Consider the following 19,841-nt stretch of genomic DNA (forward strand, 5'->3'; position numbering starts at 1 on the left):
AGGGCCAATCCAGATTGAAGAATTACAGGGATAGACTGGACTTCTTAGTGGAAGGGAAAGAATCTGTGATCATTTTTCTGCAACTTGCCATAATGATGTAATAACTTAAAAAGATAAAAGAAGAAATAGGAACTAATCAAGGAAGAGGCCTGATATGGTTTGGTTGTGTCCTCACCCAAATCTCAGCTTGAATTGTAGCTCCCATAATTCCCACATGTTGTAGGAGGGACCTGGTGGGAGATAATTGAATCATTGGGGAGGTTTCCCCCATACTGTTTTCATGGTAGTGAATAAATCTTACAAGGGCTGATAGCTTTATAAGGGGAAACCCCTTTCACTTGGTTCTTATTCTCTCTTGCCTGCCACCACATAAGATGTGCCTTTTGCCTTCCATCATGATTGTGAGGCCTCCCCATCCATGTGGAACTGAGTCCATTGAAACTCTTTTTCTTTATAAATTACCCAGTCCTGGATATGTCTTTATCAGCAGCATGAAAACAGACTAATACAAAGCCAGTATGCAGAAACAATAGGAAAATTTGGGAAAAAAAAAAAGCCGGGTGCAGTGGCTCATGCCTGTAATCCCAGCACTTTGGGAGGCCAAGCCAGGCAGATCACCTGAGGTCAGGAGTTCGAGACCAGCCTGACCAACATGGAGAAACCCTATCTCTACTAAAAATACAAAATCAGCCAGGCATGGTGGTACATACCTGTAATCCCAGCTACTCAGGAGGCTGACCAGGAGAATTGCTTGAACCTGGGAGGTGGAGGTTGCAGTGAGCGGAGATCGCGCATTTGCACTCCAGCCTGGGCAACAAGGTGAAACTCCATCTCAAAAAAAAAAAAAAAAAAAAAAAGAATCTTCCTCAAGTGTCAAAGTAGAAAAGAAGGGATCTAAATACTTCATCAATCATTAAAGCTCTTCCCTATACTCAAGGATCTCTCAACCCCAATTTCCAGAATTAGCCTCCTTCTACTCCTCCATGTGTCAGCCAAAGCATCTCACTCTCCACAGATGGTTTTGCTTCTAAATTTCCTTCTGTCCAGAATATATCTTTTCTACCAAACTGCTCAATATTTCAATATCTCCTTTCAAACTTCTATTTATTCCACCTACCTTTTCTTCCATGGAAATTAAAAATAGAAGTAATAGTATTTATGATTATTTATGATTATAGTACTTAAGATTCTTTATCATGTTTCAGCTACTGTTCTAAGTACTTTGCATGAATTCTGTTACCTATTCCTACAACACCTTCTCAAGGTAAATACCATTAAAGATCCATTTACAGAAGGAGAAAAAAAATCCGTATCTTCCTGACTCATACTTTTCACAATCTGCATGTTAACTTCCACTCTAAAGTATCATTTCTCAGTTCTCCTAAAGATATGATTTCTCTAACTTTTGGCTTTTTATTTTTCTTTAAACAGACTGACAATAGCAGGTATTGGTGAGGGTGCAGAGCAACTTACACAGTGCAGGTGGGAGTGTAAATTGATATAATCACTTTGGAAACCAACCCACTATTCTCTCTAAAATGAAGGTACACATATCCTATGATCAGAAATTCAAGCACTATGCTAGGAGATACCAAACAAATGCATGCATATGCACTAAGAAACAGATCCAAGAATGTCCACAGCATTTTTTTAATAATCCCAATCTTGAAATAATTCAAGTATCCATTAATAGAAAATGGATAACTAAGTTCATGTATTATAAGATGGAGTACTATATTGCAATAAAATTTAGCAAACTACAAATATATGATGAGCATGGGTGAATATTAAGCACATAATGAGTGAAAGATGCAAGACACAAAATATAGTGCATGACTCCATTTATATAGAGTGAAAAAAAGAAGGCAAAATGAAAGTTCATTGTTTGGGGATGCATGCTTAGGAGAGAAAACTGTAAACCAATGCAAAAAGGCTGTTGCCTTAAAAGTTAGTAAAGCTCTTTCTCCATATGGTAGAGAAGAAGTAATGTCTAGGAGGAAACATTTGGGGACCTTCTAGGTTCTGGCAATGTCCTATTTCATGACCTTTCTGGTGGTTCCATGAGCATTTCCTTAACGATCATTCATTAGGCTGTACGATCTTGTTTTGTGCACATTTCTATATATTTGCAAGTTATGTTTCACAATAAAAATGTTTAAAGAAGAAATAACAAAGATATGTAGTTACTTCATATGATATGGAAGCTAAAGGGTAGGTAGTTGAGCATTCAACATGATCACACTACTGCCTCTTGGAACACTAACAGTATGTCTTGCATTAGTTCAGATCCTCCAAAAGCAGACGTGAAGATCGGATTAAATATGCAAGAAATTTATTTGAAACACCTCTTAGAGAAGGAATGAGGGGAGCTAGAAGAGGCAAGGCCGGCCTTCAGACAATGATACAAGTTCTGACAGTTTGAAGGTGAGAGGAGAGAAAGGGTTGGATAAGTAGAGTCTCAGAATGCAGGGACATTTTAAGAAGCTTCAGCCAGGCAAATGAGACATATTCAAGCCAAAGTCACCCTGTGGAAGATACCTGCTCTTTGCAGGGTTTGACCTGCTTTAATGTCCCTGCCATTCTCAGGTATTGGCTGAGAGCAGCTTGTGGGAAATGTAGCCTTTGAGGAAATGCAATGGTAGATTCAGAGCCCAGCAGCTATGCACCAGTTACATCTTCCCCACAGCAGGAGATCTGAGCAGCACATTTCCATAACTGCTAAATCCACTAAAAGTGATGTAAATTGTGAAAAATCAAATATAGCAGTGCAAATAAATAAGAAACACAAAACAATGTGAATTGCATAATTACTAACTTATAGTGTAAATATGAATAATGGATTCGCTAATAAAGTTTTATGATCATTTCAGTCAGTAAATCATTGAATATATATAAAATATTACATTACTATTACTCTCATTATTACTATAACATACTGTTAGTCTGCATTGAAGACTAGGGAAACTAGATTTCATATCCACTGAGTTCTATCTGAGATTGGCAGGTAACATACTGAATGATTGTATTAGTCCGTTCTCATGCTGCTATAAAGAACTGCCCAGCGACTGGGTAATTTACAAAGAAAAGAAGTTTAATTGATCACGGTTCCGCATGGCTGGGGAAGCCTCAGGAAACTTGCAATCACGGTGGAAGGGGAAGCAAACACATCCTTCTTCACATGATGGCAGGAAGAAGGAGAGCCGAGTGAAGCTGAGCTTCTGCCCCTTATAAAACCATCAGATCTCATGAGAACTCACTCTCTCTCATGAGAATAGCATGGGGGTAACCGACCCCATGATTCACTTACCTCCCACCAGGCCCCTCCCATGATACGTGGGGATTATGGGAACTACAATTCAAGATAAGATTTGGGTGGGGACACAGCAAAACTATATCAGTGATTTCGATTCCTAAAGCCCCGAGAAGCCAGTTGAACACTTCTATTCAAAGCATTTGGCTTTGTCTTTCAACCTTGATAACCAAGATGATAAAGAATATCCCAGCAGGTGGGGATGTGTCAATCTTTATTGGTGTCCTGGTCTAGAATTTGAACAGCCTAGAGCAGGAGTCCCCAACCCGCAGTACCGGTCTGCGGCCTATTAGGACCTGGGCCACACAGCAGAAGGTGAGCCACCGGCCTAGCAAGCATTACTGCCTGAGCTCTACCTCCTAACAGATCAGTCTCCCATCACCCCCAGACGGGATCGTCTAGTTGCAGGAAAACAAGCTCAAGGCTCCCACTGATTCTACATTATGGTGAATTGTATAATTATTTCATTATATATTACAATGTAATAATAAAGGAAATAAAGTGCACAATAAATGTAATGCACTTGAATCATCCTGAAATCACCCTCTGCCCCCCTTCTGGTGGAAAAATTGTCTTCCACAAAACCCATCCTGGTCCCAAAAATGTTGCTGACCACTGGTCTAGAGAAATTTGACTTTTAATTAAAGGCATTTAACTTGAAGTTGCCACATTGTAACAGAAAGTAAACAAGCTACCAACCCAATCCCATGTGATTTAATGGTAATGATAGAGTGTTAAGAAAATAACTATCTCTAACAGTAAGGGATCCCAACCCCTTTGCCCGAAGCAGAAGGAGAAAAGAGCAGGCATTCATGCTCGACACTCAGGTTTCTCTGGAATATTTTGTTCTCTCATTGTGTTTGTCATACCATGATTGTGCTATTTAGAATTCACTTTCATTAGTAGACTAGGAAGAGTCTACAAATAATGAAAGTCAATAATGGGGGAAATTGAGAAAACTGGTGTGTGTTTCTTGGTGGCTGTCATTTCACTGAAACTTATTTATCCTTGGGTTATACCATGGTTTAACAGGGGAAATGTTTGTATTTCAACCTTGAACTTGTCATTGTTCACCTGTTTCAATAGGTGAAATGCCTGCTAAAATAAAAAGTAAAAACTTCCTTGGAAATTAGGTCAGAGGTCCTTTATTACATTTTGAAGTAAATATGCTGCTTATTTCTTATTCTTTTTTTTTTTTTTTTTTGAGACAGAGTGTTGTTCACCCTGGCTAGAGTGCAGTGGCATAATCTCAGCTCCCTGCAGCCTCCACCTCCTGGGTCCAAGTGATTCTGCTGCCTCAGCCTCCCAAGCAGGTGGGACTACAGGTGGCACCACCATGCCCAGCTAATATTTGTATTTTTAGTAGAGACAGGGTTTTGCCATGTTGGCCAGGCTAGTCTCGAACTCCTGGCTTCAAGGGATCTGCCCACCTCAGCTTCCCAAAGTGCTGGGTTACAGGCTTGAGTCGCCATGCCTGGCCTGCTTATTTACTCTAATAGTTCTACATTTCCTTGATATTGTTCTCAGAAGCAATGGAGGCTATCATTTTAAAATGCAGTTACCTGTGTTGGAAAGAAAATTGTAGCATTTCCTTTTTTGAGGAAATGAAGTGAAAAAGTGAGCCACTGGGTTAGTCTCCAAGTGAAGAAAGTCAGGAATTCTTGTCCCAGTGGGAGAGGATGAGTTTGTTTTCAGGCATTACATTAAATGAGAATATTTGTCTCATCACTGTAAGTGTGGGAAGAAGTATGCGTGTGGATATTGGAAAGCCAGAAGAGCCCTTGCCAGGGCAGTCTTGATGGATGAACATCCTACCTGCTAGGGAACATGAAGGAAGCCAATCCCTCCCAGCCATCGTCTTTGCTCCTACCCTGGCAGTCACAACACAAGCAAGAGATTCAGGTAGGCCAACTGGATGTTCTTGCTCAAGTGTTTGAGTTATAAATAAGTAACACAAAGAAAACAAAATAGTCAGAATCCATTCACAGCCACAGTAATGGTGATAGTGTCGTGGCAAAATCACCATTGACTAGCCAGGCATCCTTTTGCTCTGTAGCTGCCCTGGTTCTTGCCCTTTCGTCAAAATTTTCCTGCAGTCTTTCATTGATTCCTGGAGATCTCCATATCCTTCTAACAAGATTTCTTCTTGCTTAAGATTACTACAAAAGCAGTTTTGCAACAAAAGGCAACCTAACTGAACATTAGCTAAGCAGGCAAAGGGGAGCTAAAATTGTAATCCCAGTGTGGGATCAGGTCACTAAACAGGAGCTGGAGGCAGAAGCTCAGTCACAGAGAGTTAAAAGTAAACACCAATGGGAAGACAAATTGCTTGGGGCTCCCCCCAGGCATCTGAATGCTAACTCTTCACCAGTTTAGCTAATTCCCTTGCCGTCAGCTACTGAAGCTCAGGGTCCCCCTGCACCCTCTGCTCTGGTCAGTATAACTCAGGAAGTGGCTACTAGTGATTCTGCCAAGAGTAAGCCAGCATGTGCTGGTCTCCATAGGAATGGAACCAGAGAAAACAGGGACCGAGAAGCTGTGAAAATCATTAGTAAAACTCTAGAGCTAGCAAAAGTTCATAAGGTCAAGAGTTTCCATGGAAGGAGGGGTCTCCACTAAGTGGGAAGATACTTCTTCCTTTAAGACAGAAGGAAAAGGTGGAAAGCTGGGGAAGGAGGCAGCAGGATTGGGGATAAGAATATGTGAGGTAAGTTATATTGGTAGCTTCTATTTTCTATGGGAAGCAAGAAGCCAGTCTGTCTGCTAAGAATGAGGGACTGAGAGAAAGAATAGAGGTTTGAAGATCAGATAAATGCTGTCAATGGTCACTACTGGGGAAAGTATGAATAAAGCAAAAAAAAAAACAATGGTCTGGTGCAGTGGCTCACGCTTGTAATCTCAGCACTTTGGGAGACCAAGGCAGGTGGATCACTTGAGGTCAGGAGTTCAAGACCAGCCTGGCCAACATGGTGAAACCCCATCACTACTAAAAATACAAAAATTAGTCAGGCGTTGTGGTGGGCACGTATAATCCCAGCTACCTGGGAGGCTGAAGCACAAGAATCTCTTGAACACAGGAGGCAAAGGTTGCAGTGAGCCGCGATCGCACCACTACACTCCAGCCTGGGCAACAGGCAACAGAGCAAGACTCCGTCTCAAAAAAAAAAAAAAAAAAAAAGGAAAGAAAAAAGAATGGTTCATAAATCCAGGTGGATTGAAAATAACAAATTAATTCAGTCTAATCATGTGCTTCTCCTCCAGCAACACCATGCCCAAAACTATTAGCTGTGAAAATAATGGTCCAATTACTTAAAAGCTAAGAATATCCAGAATTAGCAGAAGGCCAAAGGGTAGAGAGAAGTGAGAGTGTTGATAAGGGGGCCATTGGGGAATTGAAACATAGGTTTTTGGTGTATTCAGGGAGGGAGGCAAAATAGGAAGAAACTGAACAAGTGGGAAGCCAGGAAGGAAGCCAGAACAGGGAGGATGTGATGAAAAAGAAAAACATGTTACATGGAAAGGAAGGAAATAGTACAGGTAGGAGAAGTGACAAGATAGGGCTTTGTGATCGGAAGTAAAATCACAGATTTTAGAGTATGTGACTTCAGAAATGAGTGCTGGGGAGGAACAGAAGTAAAGGTCGTTCACTGTACCTAATGTAAAGCTACCAAGCATGGCATCCCAAGAAAGTTGAAGTCACCCAGGATGATGGCAGGATTTGAGTAGAGAAGACACGTGTCTGTTGTCAGTTGTCTAAATGAGTATAAAACCATGAACGAAGAGTCAAGGGGACAATGGCAGAAAGAAAGCAGCACAACTGGGTGGTATGGTTTCAACAAGGGGGTAGCCTAGCACAATGGAGTAGAAATGAGGGTCAGAAAATATTTAAACCATTTTACATCAAAGAAATGTTTTAATTATCACAACTGTCACAACTGGAAGGCCAGAAGTTTGATGGGTTTTGAAGGTGAATGATTGGAAGACGACCATGGCATCAAACTTTGTTTCCTTCTGTATTAGTGCTTAGCCCAGAGCTTCAACCTAACTTGACCTTGAGGTCTTCAGATGGCTTCCAGTAGCAATCAGAGCTATGTGCTCCTTGTTTACGTTCAGCAAAAGATAGAGAAACTGGTTTCTCATCTAACACTTTCAAAAGGAGAGAACTTTCTGAAACACCTACAGGAAATTTCTCCTTGCATCTCTTTGACTGGAATTGAGTCACATACCAACTTCTAAACCAATCACTGCCAAGAAAATAGCACTTCCTTTAGACAAGACACATCCAACTCTTGAGCCTCATATTACATCGTAACTTCTCAATAGGGGAAGGTGGGAGCAGATGTCGGGGAGTCTACCGTAACCTCCACCACTCACATGCATTTGTGACTACAAGGTTTCCTCAGCTTCTTTTTTAATGTGGCAGGTCTAGAATGGGTAACAAGTAATGACTTCAATTCTCTGAATAAACGAAGTTTTGGCTTTCTATTGAAAAATCAAGTTTGCATTGGTGACTCTGGACACACTACTCAATTTCTAACAATGCATAGAAACAGAACTCTCACAATTGCAAATGGAGCTAAGAGTTACAAGCACATTTTATTCCATCTTGCAAAACTGCAGCAACCTTGTGGATCTCTTGCCAAGACACCAGGACCGTCTTTCTATGCTTTGCACTAAAATTCCAGAGATTCTCCTCCAGCTACACATCCTAAATGCCATGCTGCTTGAGTATTAGGCCTCTACCTCCTACCTGCTGAAGCTGGAGACCATGAATAATATGCAGGCCATCTAGAAGTCCTTACAGGCTCTTGTAGCAGGCAAGGAACAGGTGCACAGACCAACCAATGCCAGTACAAATACAAGACTTTCACTGTCCTGATTAAAAACATCTGGTGGTTCCCAGACAGAGAACAATGTCCCAACTCCTTAGAGCTGCACAAAGGACTAGTTGCAAACAGACACAACCAAACACAACCAAGCATAGCAGCTTCATTGCCCACTTTGCATCCCAAATACGTGCTTGGCATCCCTGAATGCTCCTTTACATCTCTATGCTTGTGAAGATCCTTTTTCCTCTACTAAGAATTCCCTCCCCCTGCTTTTCTAACCAGTGATTCCCTTTTCTTCTTATAGGAAATGAAATATTCCGTGCTCTGAAGTTTTCCCAGACACCTCAAGCAGCAGCTCCTCTGTTCCTCCGTGTTCCTGTAGCAATTCCCACCTGCCTCTATGGAAGTACTTCTCACACTGTTCTGTGATCATGTGTTTCTGTACTTGCCTCTCCTAATTAGAGTGAGAGCAACTTCAAGCAACTTTATTCACTGTTTTATTTTTAGTGTCTGAAAAGTAAAAGGTATCTATGTTTGTTTACATATAGATCATTTATCTTTAAAAAATACTTTTAAAGTTATAATTTGCTATGTGAAATCACTTCTTCCTACTTTGATAGCTAATTGTCTATTATTCATTATCAGTATAACTCACTATATTAACGCACCTAGCCAAACTCCACAGCAGCAACAGCCAGATATTTGGCACTTTAAAATAAAAGTCTAGTATTTTCTGACTTTTTGAACTTGGTTATTTTTAAAATTCTAGCTGGGCACGGAGGCTCACGCCTGTAATCCCAGCACTTTGGGAGGCTGAGACGGGCAGATCACTTGAGGTCAGGAGTTTGAGACCAGTCTGACCAACATGGTGAAAGCCCGTCTCTACTAAAAATACAAAAATTAGCCAGGGGTGGTGGCATGTGCCTGTAATCCCACCTACTCAGGAGGCTGAGGCAGGAGAATCACTTGAACCCAGGAGGGGGAGGTTGCAGTGAGCTGAGATTGCACCACTGCACTCCAGCCTGGTGACAGAGCGAGACTCTGTCTTTAAAAAAAAAAAAATGTAAGTAGTTAAGAACATCTTTGTGAGTAAATCATTTCATTGCTCATTTACAGCAGGAGATCTGGTATCATGCGGCTACAATTTACGATATATGCAGCTGATTGACATACAGACACGGTGCTAAATGAGATGAAGTAAAGCAAACCAGTAGGGCAGGATGGAAGTGTCAAAACTGATTGGCCGGTATAAATTTTCAAAATGTGTGGTCAGTATTCCTGGAGGCCAAATCCACTGGGTGGCTTGTTTCCAAAATAACAGTATAACCTTCTTAAGAAACTGTTTTATTGTATAAAACTACTGCATTAGGAAAAGTTAGTCACTGTGTTTACTTCATTCTTCTGCTAACAAAAGATAAATTATTTATTTTTTTAGATGATAAGGAAATCTTAAATGCTGTTCTCAGCTGAGAGAGGCTGAGAGAACATCGGGCCAGTTACTCCCACAACATACTTCTGAGAGTACAGAACTCCCATGTGATCTAGGATTGCTCTTGTCTGGCCTTGTTATTTCCAAATTATGTTGTCCCTGTCTCTGTTAAGGGATGGCATGAGTTGAGCTTTAGATCTTGAAGTAAGGTTCATCTCCGTTTCTGAATATCATGTGAGAAACAAATGTAAAATGTAAAGCTTTCTCCTCATTTCATTCCAAATCCTGGTAGTGAGGAACTGGGAAGGGAAAGGAGGAAGGTAACAGTTTTTGAGTCCATATTATGTGCCAGGCAAGGCTTCGAGATTGCAGCTTCCCCCAGGATGGAGATAGTATCTTATTGAACTTTAATATCTAGCACAGTTTCTGACACGTAGGCAGGTGCTCAATGAATACTTATTGACTGAAACAATCTAAATCCATTTCAGATATAATCTCATTTAATCCTCACAACCACCTCGAATTTGGAAATACTTTCTTCATTTAACAGAGAGGTTGAGTAAATTGCCTCAGGTCACACTGAAAGGCCTGGATTACAAACTAAGGATGTAAAAATCAAAGGGCATCTCAAAGTCATCCAGAAAAATGCAACTTTTTGTGTTAATCTGTCTAGGAGCTGGGGTAGAAAAAAGAAAAATGCTGCTTTTTATAGATGAAACAAAACATTCATTGAATTTTAGTGACTTTTTTGTTTCACAACACATTGCTGTAAAAGTGAAAATCAAGACAAACATACACAGTCTTTCTTAAAACATTCTAGACAGTGAGTTTGACCATACATACACTAACATAGAGGATTCAGTTCTTTTTTTTTTTTTTTTTTTTTTTGACACAGGGTCTCACTCTGTCACCCAGGCTGGAGTGCAGTGGCACAATCTCAGCTCACTACAACCTCTGCCTCCTGGGTTCCAGCAATCCTCCCACCTCAGCCTCCCATATAGCTGGGAATACACGCTGGCACCACACGCTGGCACCACCACACCCAGCTAATTTTTTTGTATTTTTTGTAGAGATGAGGTTTCACCACATTGCCCAGGCTGGTCTCAACGCTTGAGCTCAAGCGATCTTCCCACCTCAGTCTCTCAAAGTGCTGAGATTACAAGTGTGGGCCACCACGCCCGGCCTCAATTCAATTTTTACTGAATCACTGCTAGAATCAGTGATTATTTCATCATAATTTTCCTGCAATGTGGCAGGAACAAAAATGTCTGGGTGATAGATCTGGCAGCTCTGAATCCCAGCATGTGGTGAAGTTAAAAGATGGCATCAGAAATCATAAAATAGGCCGAGAGCGCTGGCTCATGCCTGTAATTCCGCACTTTTGGGAGGCTGAGGCAGGTGGATCACCTGAGATCAGGAGTTCGACACCAGCCTGGTCAGCATGGTGAAACCCTGTCTCTACTAAAAATACGAAAGTTAGCCGGGCTTGGTGGACATATGATATAACAAATAACTCCATACAAACTAGAAAGAAGAAGAAGGATATTGATAAAGAAACAAGAGCAGGAGCAAACAACAAAGTCACAAAAGGTCTTGATGTAGAAAGGTAACCATGAGGAACTCCGTAGGGTGGTTGCATGGAATATGTGGGATGAAATCGTAGGATATAATATTGGAACTGCAGATTATTGGATGTGAAGGGCTCCATTCACATCCACTTGTTAAAACAATAATGACGATTCTTTTAAATTTTTGTGCCAAGTATGCAGAAGAAGACCCAAGTGCACTGGCAGACCCATGGCATCAGTACACATCTGCTATTGGCTCACTTCCTCTAATCTCCAGGGGCTTTTTCCCAACCTTCTGGTTCCTTCTCTGTCACTGACCATTATAGAAGGAAAATGAATCCAATAATTAAATCTTGACCCAAACTCAAAACAAATAATTTCTTTGTGATTTTTTTGTTTGCTTTTTTTTTTTTTTTTTTTTTTTTGAGACGGACTCTTGCTCTGTTACCCAGGCTGGAGTGCAGTGGCGCAATCTCGGCTCACTGCAACCTCCGCCTCCCAGTGCAAGCGATTCTCCTGCCTCAGCCTCCCAAGCAGCTGGGACTACAAGCATGTGCCACCATACCTTGCTAATTTTTGTATTTTTAGTAGAGATGGGGTTTCACCATATTGGCCAGGCTGGTCTCGAACTCGTGACCTTGTGATCCACCCGCCTTGGCCTCCCAAAGTGCTGGGATTACAGGCGTGAGCCACCACGCCCAGCCAAAACAAATAATTTCAACAGCATAAAAACATTTTATTCTCCTAGTGTTGTAACGAGGTAAGCATTTTCATATCTGAATGAACCTCCCTTCTTCCCGTGATAGGAAGAGTTGATGTACAAGAATTTGATTAAAAAAAAATACACAGGAGAGGTTATGTTCAGCCTGCAGGTTAACAAGATGGGTGGATAGGATAGAACCCTAAAGCATAATTAAAACAGCTTAGGTAATTGTTTTTAAACCAAGCTTTGAGAACTAAAAATGAAATTTCATATTAAGAATATTCATGTGTTTTTCTGAACACTGCTAGAACCAGTGATTATTTTTGAATAGGTAATATAAATTATAATGTTGCCTAATAGCTGAGAGGCTTTTGGGCCAAATACTCCCACCGCATATATTTCCTAAGAGCATGGAAGTCCCACAAGCCTATGTGTACCTAACAATGGCATGTGTACGTGACATCATAATTTCACTTATCAAGGGAGGAAATGAGTCACACCTGAAGTTGTGTCATGTCATTGAAGCCAAACAATCTGTCAATTTCAAAATTGGGGATGCAGTTTATTTCACAAAGAGTGTGTAGGCTAAAAATGTACGTCCTCTTCTAGTCTACTGAAGCAAGAGAAGACAGATACCTTCTGCTGGTCCACCTCCAAATCTAGTTCTTCATCTTGAGGGATTTGTGTTACTTCAAAACAGCAGAACAATTCTTTCTGCCAGAATGTTCTCTTCAGCCATGGGTATGCTTCTAGGATTTCATTTCCTGATATTGTCCTTCTCCTCTTTTCGGGCAGGTGCACCTGAGTTTCAAATATTTCACATGTCTAAGTTGGTGCAGGTAAACTACATTCTTTTCCTTTTGCTTTCTGATCCAGTTATTTCATTTCCTAGCACATTCTTCTATATTTGGCCTTATGGAGCATCTGCCAATGAGAAACAAATGTCTGCCAAAAGCATCTGTGCTCCGAACAACCTTTGTCCATTCTTATTTCCTCTATTTGGATAATTCCACCTACGTTTAATCCTCTCATCAGCCTACCGTTCATCTCAAACCTGATTTCTATTTATTTTTGTCCTGGCTAGCTCCTCTTTAGTGCGTATTATCCTACCTTTTCCGGGGGTCTGCAAACTTTCTAAGCATTATCCCTAATAACAAATACTTTAGAAACTTTCCTACTTACCACAAATGTATCATTTTGAGAATCACGTAATAGGGGCTAATGGATTCTGTGCTAAATTTCCAAGCCTTCTCCTGTCTCAAGTCTGTCCATATTATCTAAACCCTCCTTGTATATAGCTTTTTCAGCCTTTGAGGCTGGTTCCCCACTGATTATTATTTGCTATCTGGAGCTTTCAGAGGCACATCTCAAAACTCGCCAAGTTCCTTGTTTCATCTAGTAAAGTCAGTGTAATATTACATCTATAATCTTGCCTCTCTTCTGTTATTGGAGATCTTCCAGGAATATTTCTTATTATTTCCCCATCTTTGAAAGAAGTTAGGTCAAATTAAACAGAAAAAGGAATTTATTGGAGGTACACTTGGTTGTCCACATCTTCAGGAAGACTAGAGAACTACATTCAGAATAGGCATTAAAAAGAGGAGGCTACGCCACCAAAACCACAGCCAAAACCAAGCCACAGAACAAATCCAGTGAGGATACCACTGCATCACAGAGCCACTGTGGAGACCATCCATACTGCCAGCATTGACCCTGGCCCTACCACTGTCTTGGTTGCCAGCATGCAGCCCAACACCCCACAGCCAGAAAGATGTCCCCACTGCTTTTGACCCTTGGTTTCTGTCTCCAGGTCTGAGACTCATGGGTCTGATTGTCACACCTAAGTCATGGGTTCAGGCCCCAGCTTCAGGGGAGGTTGAGAGGTAAGTTTCAAGTCTATTCAGATTTTACAGTGGAAGATGAACTCTGCCTCCCAGCAAGACCAATAGTATAGATATTCCAAATGTAAGAAAGGAATTCAGATAACAGACAAACGGTAGGGGAAGTCTATTATGTTTTGACTGCTGTCATCTGCCTTATGGCATAGCCAGTAGACAACTCATCTGTGTGTTGCACTATAGCTAGGGCCCTTACAGGAAATATGTCTTTTCACTTTCCTTCATCTAGCACGGCAGTTTCCAAGCCGTGCTCTGAGGTACCCCGACCCCCACCAGGTGCCACAGAGAACTCAGAAGACCCAGCAGCATATTTTAAATTTTCAAGGACAGGCTGGGTGCGGTGGCTCAAGCCTGTAATCCCAGCACTTTGGGAGGTCGAAGCAGGCACATCACTTGAGGTCAAGAGATCGAGACCAGCTTGGCCAACACGGTGAAACCCCATCGCTACTAAAAATACAAAAATTAGCTGGGTGTGGTGGCACGGCCTGTAATCCCAGCTGCTCAGGAGCCTGAGGCAGAAGAATCGCTTGAACCTGGGTAGGTGGAGGTTGCAGTGAGCTGAAACTGCACCACTGCATTCCAGCCTGGGCAACAGAGTGAGACCCTATCTCAAAAAAGTAATAATAAAATAAAATTTAAAAAAATAAATTTTTGAGGACAGCACAGTGGCATCTACCAGACACCACTCAGTCTCTACCTCGAGGTGGTTCGCAGTTTCATTAGATCAGCCTACATTCCCTTCAAAGCCAGCCCTTTCTTTGCAAGGCTGGGTGTTCAGCAGTCACTACAAGTTTTTAGAAAGTGCCATATGAAAAAGCAATGTGGAATAGGAAATGAGAGTGACATGTTCATTCTGATTCCAAACTTGTCCGGTTGGCAGTGCCCCACAGGCACACACGTCCCATTAGTAACTGTGTTCATTCAAGAATGAAACTAAGTATTACTTGTTCTTTATATTTATATGTTTGCTTTCCAAATAGCTACTTGGTTGTTAAAACATAAATATTTAAAGGTGTTTGAACCTACTAACTTAATACACGTAACTGCTAGGGTTGTTTTGGCAAGGAGTGAAGGGGGAGTGTTTTTGTTTTTGTTTTTTGGCCCAGGAATGTTGTGAAAAAAATTAAAACACAAATGGCACCATAAACCAAAAGAGTTTGGGAAACTCTGAACCAGCACAATGTCTATTGATTTTTTAAATTAATGTTTTATTCTTCACAGTCCTGCATTGTTCAAGAGAAGCCTCCACTGTCCTCTCTCAAAGAATAACTTCTGAGTAAAGACAAGGAATAATAGAAAGCTATTATTATATTATTATTATAGCTTCCCACTCATATGATAGGTGGCAAGTGGATGACTAGAATTTCCAAAAGCAAACAACACAGCTGGGAGAGACCAGGAGACGAAAATATAGAGGAGAATACAGGCAAATGCAGAAAGTCCCCAAAGAACAAAGACAGAGTCAGGGAACCTCCCAGCCTTCTAGAAAAGGGACTCATGGGCCGGGCGTGGTGGCTCACACCTGTAATCCCAACCCTTTGGGAGGCTGAGGTGGGCGGATCACCTGAGGTCAGGAGTTCCAGACCAGTCTGGCCAACACGACGAAATCCCGTCTCTACTAAAAATACAAAAATTAGCTGGGCATGGTGGCGCATGCCAGGCAGGAGAATCACTAGAACCTGGAAGGCAGAGTTTGCAGTGAGCTGAGATCATGCCACTGCACTCCAACCTGGGAAACAGAGTGAGACTCTGTTTCAAAAAAAAAAAGAAAAATGTAAAGGGACTCATGCACCCATTACCTAGCAGAAGTGCATGGTATCACTGCTGGCAAGCACAAGGATGTCTATATATCCAGTAGGGAGAGTTTGAATAATTCTTCTGTGGAGAAAATATAAGCATGCGGCAGAAAATGTCCAACTTTGGAGACAAGAAATTTGCTTATTGATATTTCTAAAAACAGTGTCATGTTTAAGGATGAGTTTCTAAGGAGAATGCAGATAATGACAGAAGAGCTCTAAAATCTTACACGAGTCATTAAACCCAGTTTTCTCTTCCATAGAAAGAGTGTATGTACTTGGCATCTAGCCTGCTAAAACTCTTAGTCTGTGTTGGTCTGAGATTTTTGGTGTCCTCAAAAGTGAATTTTATTTGTTTGTTTGTTGTTTGTTGTTTTTTTTTTGTGACAGGGTCTCACTCTGTTACCCAGGCTGGAGTGCAGTGGTATGATCACAGCTCACTGCAGCCTTGACCTTCCAGGCTCAGATGATACTCCTACCTCAGCCTCTTGAGTAGCTGGGACCACAGGCAAGCACCACCATGCTCAACTGATTTTTTTTTTTTGGTAGAGGTGAGGTCTCACTATGCTGCCCAGGGTGGTTTTGAACTCCTGGGCTCAAGCGATCCTCCTGCCTTGCCCTCCCAAAGTGCTGGGATTATAGGCATGAGCCACCATGCTGAGCCTAGGAGTGAATTTTGTACATAGAAAAATGATTTCAATAGTTACTTACTAAAATTAATTCAATCTATTAAAGCTATAAATTTTAAAAACCTACTTCTTTATTTGGCTTTTAAATTCTGTCTTGCTGAGTCTCTTACTCTCGCTTGCTTTGATGAAACCCAGCTGCCATGAGCCTGCAGCTCACAACAAGAGTTGGTCCATATGGAGAGGTCCATATGGTAAGGAAGTGAGGGAGGCCTCCAGCCAACAGCCAGTAAAAAACTGAGGCCCTCAGTCCAACAACCCATGAGCAAGTGAATGCTGCCCAAAATCACATGAACGATCTGGGAAGTGGATCCTTCCTCAGTCAGGCTCTTGGATCATAGTGACTCCTGCTGGATCTCCTTGACTGCAAGATCCTTAGGTAGAGGCATCCAGGTAAGCTGCAGCTGGATTTCTATCCAGGGGAAACTGTGAGTTATTTTAAACTTGAGTTTTGGAGTCTTTTTTTTTTTTTTGAGATGGAGTCTTGCTCTATTGCCCAGGCTGGAGTGCAGTGGCACGATCTCAGCTCACTGCAACCTCCATCTCCTGGGTTCAAGCGATTCTCCTGCCTCAGCCTCCTGAGTAGCTGGGCTTATAGGCATGCACTACCATGCCCAGCTAATTTTTGTATTTCTTTCTTCTTTTTTTTTTTTTTTTTTACTAGAGACAGGGTTTCATCATGTTGGCCAGGCTGGTCTTGAACTCCACACCTCAAGTGGTCTGCCCTCCTCAGCCTCCCAAATTGCTAGGATTACAGGCGTGAGCCACCATGCCCAGACTTGAGTAATTTTTATGCAGTAACAGATAACTAATACAGAAACTAAAAAAGACATGACAGGTAAATGCAATGTGTGACCCTGGACTGGATATCGTGGGGAGGAAGAGATACTAAAAGGACATATTGGACAATTGCCAAATTTGAATATTGACAGTATATTAGGTAATAATATTAAACTTCTTAATAGGATTATTGGACTGTGGTTATGTAAGGAAGTGTCCCTTTTATTATGAAATTCACATTGAAGTATTTAGAAATAAAGGAAAATGATATCTGCAATTAACTCTTACATGGTTCAGGGAAAAATTAACAATAATATGCATTATAAGTAGAAAGAGTAGTAAGGCAAATGTGTCAAATTGTTAATTTATGAATCTGGATAAAGGATACATATTTAAAAGATATGTGTACATTTCTTGCAGCTCATCTGTAACTTTGAAAGTATTTTTTAAGGTTTTTTTTAAGTAGTATAGAGAAGCAATTTGTCATTTGTGGCTTAAACCTAAAATGTGTTGTTACAGAATTTTAAAATTAATTAAGACGTTCATTTCTTTAGTAAGAAAAAAGAGACTTATTTTTTTCTTTTAATAATGATAGTCTTTCTCTTTTGGCGCTTTTAAAACCAAATACAAGCATAAATATATTCTGCCCATTGTATTTTCAGGAAAAAATTAGATTTGGCTAAGTTAGATTAAAACGCTATGTATAAATTTCTGTATTTAAATCCTACACTTACTCCGAAGTAAAGAGTGTTGTTCAAGTAAGGAGACTCTAAAGAAGAAGTTGAAAGGATAACAATCCAATTCTAAGGCCTACCTTGTGCAAAAAGTCAAAATTTGACTTCGGTACCTTCCTGACATTCTATCTTGACAACACTTTGTGACAACCTGACTTGTCACCGTATTCACCTTATTTCCTGTGCTAATCCAAGGATATTTTCTGATTAAAATTTTATATCACAAGAATTTTATGTTATTTTCCTCACCTTAACACTTTTATCCCATCACTTGAATATTTTACCTTTTAATTTTTCACATTTTCAAGTGAGTGTTGTGGAGACAAATGTTGTCCACTATCCTTCACACCCATCTTCATTTCTTTTCTACCCCCTACTCATTCTACTTTCTTCTTTTACCTTCTTGGGCGCCTTGCTTTCCTTTCTCTCCCATGGCTTTCTTATCTCTTTGACGCCTTCCCTCTTGCTTCCTCCATACTAACCCCACTTGTTATGGTTTGGATCTGAGTCTTTGCCCAAATCTCATGTCAAATTTTAATCTCTGATGTTGGAGGTGGAGCCTGGTGAGAGGCGATTAGATTACGGGGGTGGATTTCTCATAAATGGTGTCGCACCATCCCCTTGGCGCTGTTCTCGTGATCATGAGAGACTTCTCCTGCGATCTGGTTGTTTAAAAGTGTGTAGCGCCGCTCCCCTCCCCCCACCCCCACTCACTTTCTTGCTCCTGCTCTGGCCATGTGATGTGCCTGCTTCCCTTTCACCTTCTGCCCTGATTGTAAGCTTCCTGAGGCCTCCCCAGAAGCTGAGCAGATGCCCCCATCGTGTTTCCTGTACAGCCTGCAGAACCGTGAACCAATTAAACCTCTTTTCTTTACAAATTTCCCAGTCTCAGATATTTCTTTTTTGTTGTTTGTTTGTTTTTGTTTTTGTTTTTGTTTTTTGAGACAGATCTTGCTCTGTCACCCAGGCTGGAGTGCAGTGGCGCGATCTCGGCTCACTGCAACCTCTGTCTCCCGGGTGCAAGCAATTCTCCTGCTTCAGTCTCCCGTGTACCTGGGATTACAGGCATGTGCCACCACACCCGGCTAATTTTTGTATTTTTAATAGAGACGTGGTTTCACCTTTTTGGCCAGGCTGGTCTCGAACTTCTGATTTGGGGTGATCCGCCCACCTCAGCCTCCCAAAGTGCTGGGATTACAGGTGTGAGCCACCACGCCCGGCCATCAGATATTCCTTTATACCAATGCAAGAACAGACTGATACATCACCCAAGGCCAGCTTTCACCATTTCATACCTAGATCACAGCAATCACCTCAAAACTGATCCTCTGCCTATAGGCTCTCCAAGCTTCCCCAAACATTACAGAAGCATTCAATTTTAGAAGTTCAGAACCTATACACCTGCCCATTATATCTGGTTTAAACTTACCAAGTTTCTATACTATCATTTCCTTACCTCTGAGAGGTACCAAACCACCAAACCAGTTTTTTTTTTTTAATTTGACTTACCTGAGCCAGTGTTTCTCTCCACTTTTAGGGCCACCTATCACTAATATATTTAGGAAAAGACCCATTGCAGGTTTGTTGTGGAGTTCTCTGTTCCCAGCTGTTTCTCCACATTCTGCCATGGCCCACGTGTCACTTAGCACTGTCAGTGGGGACCTGGATAATTTCCTTTAGTCTTGTCCATCTCCTCTTCCACACATCATCACACATAGATGCTGGGAGAAATAATAAGAGGAAGCATAAAATATGAAAAGATAAATTTGAAACTAGCCTCTATATATGACTTTTTTCCCAACAAAGTCCAACCAAACATCATCTAAGGAGTTAAAGGTTTTGTAGGGGTTTCCTTGTGAGCATACTGTGGAACAGCTGATCTCGAACTCCTGGGCTCAGGTGATCCTCCCACCTCAGCCTCTCAAAGTGTTAGGATTACAGATGTGGGCCACCATGCCTGGCTGACTCTTCTTTTTATAAAATTGCTTTTTCCTCAACTTTTTGTTTTGAAAAGTCATAAGCCTACAGAAAGTTACAAGAATTAATTTATACACCTATATGAAATTTGTTAGTTGTTAATTTTTTCAAAGTTCTCAATCTCTCTTCCC

The 19,841-nt window shown here is 41.2% G+C and overlaps 1 annotated feature.

Annotated features, from left to right (window-relative positions):
• Positions 11,712 to 12,911: an enhancer, noted in NCBI's record as "P300/CBP strongly-dependent group 1 enhancer chr21:18790767-18791966 (GRCh37/hg19 assembly coordinates)". NCBI's record gives its function as "activates an origin of replication core promoter dependent on BRD2, BRD4, P300/CBP, MED14 and CDK7 cofactors, with strong dependence on P300/CBP, by STARR-seq in HCT116 cells {active_cell/tissue: HCT116}" and the evidence as "EXISTENCE:reporter gene assay evidence [ECO:0000049][PMID:35650434]".

This window comes from Homo sapiens, chromosome 21 (assembly GCF_000001405.40).
Source record: "Homo sapiens chromosome 21, GRCh38.p14 Primary Assembly".
In the NCBI taxonomy this organism is placed as follows: domain Eukaryota; kingdom Metazoa; phylum Chordata; class Mammalia; order Primates; family Hominidae; genus Homo; species Homo sapiens.